Genomic DNA, 1,367 nt, shown 5'->3' on the forward strand with positions numbered 1-1,367 from the left:
ATTCTGTTAGAAAGGAAGAATGGCTATTACCTAAGCAATTAGTGTCTGCTGCAGGAATTCTTCCTGTCCTGGGACCTCAAACTGAGCAGTGGCTGCTTGCTGCTTAGCTCCTGCTTGCTGAGTTCCTACAGAGAAATGGTTCAGAGCATAAATCTCGCTGGAAGGGTAGGAAAGGGGGCTTATCTTGAAGTCGAATTTTCATGGAAAATGCACTGTTTTTTGCTTACTTGTATGTTCACTGGGGATGGCTTAGGGAAGCCTATAGAAGTTCTTTTGGAGGGGAGCACCTCCTCTTCCCCCACCAAGTACCCCTTGAAGCTGACATTGTCTTCTTGGGCGGGGAAGCACCAACAGTCATAGTTACTCTAAGGCATAATTTGAAATTTGCTCTTCACAAATATAAAAGGCCTTAATAACTAGGTCAAAGCGTAACAATCATTGCTGTATGTCTTTGCATGACAAATGAACAAAGATGCAAAAATTTCAATAGCACCCATATATACAAAAACTCATTACAAAAATGGAGACTTGTCATGTTTGGAACAAGAATTAAAAAAAAAAAAAAAAACTCATCTGAAATCCAAATACCTCACAAGCACTTGAATGTGTAACATGGCCTAAATGTTAATGAAGCAATTCGGCTCACTCAGCAGGATGAGCACAAAAGAAACCCTTTTCAAGACACAGCTGTCAACAATTACACTTGGTGGGGTGAAGCTGGCTGATATTCAGCATCTTAAAACTCATGGAAATGTGGAGTCTATTTGACCAAAAACCATTCCAGACTCCAGGGAAGACAGTAAACCCCTGTTTATTTGGCAGTCCAGAGAAAGGAGAATGGGATATTCTAGTTAGCCAGGCATCCCCACCCAGCTCAGAAATAAATAACAAGGTTTTTTTGTTTTATTTGTTTTTGTTTTTAAGATTCAAAGTGATACAGAAAGCACGTAAGGATGATATGGGAGCTAACCTACCCTTTCATTGATGCGGAGGTTTGGATGGCATGCGGACGGTCTGGATGGCATGCGGACGGTCTGGCAGGGCCTCAACGATTTCCTAATTGTCAAGGAGAACTTTTTTTTAAATTTTAACTTTCTGGTTATCTATGTTTTTGTAAAGAGAAGTTCATTTTACTCTATTATGACGATTAAGCGAAGAGAGCCTCCATTCTGGCTGAGGAGTGCTCTTCAGAGAATTACTCCTCTTACCCCAGCACACGCCCACACGAAACTAGCAGACAGATTTGTACATAGTGGCTCTTTGACCACAGAGAGTCAGACCAGCATTAAGTCCTCACCAAAGTGAGGTAATCAGATTCTCCTTATTGGAAGGTTGAGGGGTCTGAATTCAGAGAAGCCCTACTATAT

The 1,367-nt window shown here is 41.4% G+C and overlaps 1 annotated feature.

The window, feature by feature from the left end:
• Positions 445–946: an enhancer, noted in NCBI's record as "NANOG hESC enhancer chr3:149920455-149920956 (GRCh37/hg19 assembly coordinates)". NCBI's record gives its function as "activates a minimal SCP1, AML or CMV promoter by ChIP-STARR-seq in primed H9 embryonic stem cells {active_cell/tissue: H9 hESC(primed)}" and the evidence as "EXISTENCE:reporter gene assay evidence [ECO:0000049][PMID:30033119]".

This window comes from Homo sapiens, chromosome 3 (assembly GCF_000001405.40).
Source record: "Homo sapiens chromosome 3, GRCh38.p14 Primary Assembly".
NCBI classification, from domain to species: Eukaryota; Metazoa; Chordata; class Mammalia; order Primates; family Hominidae; genus Homo; species Homo sapiens.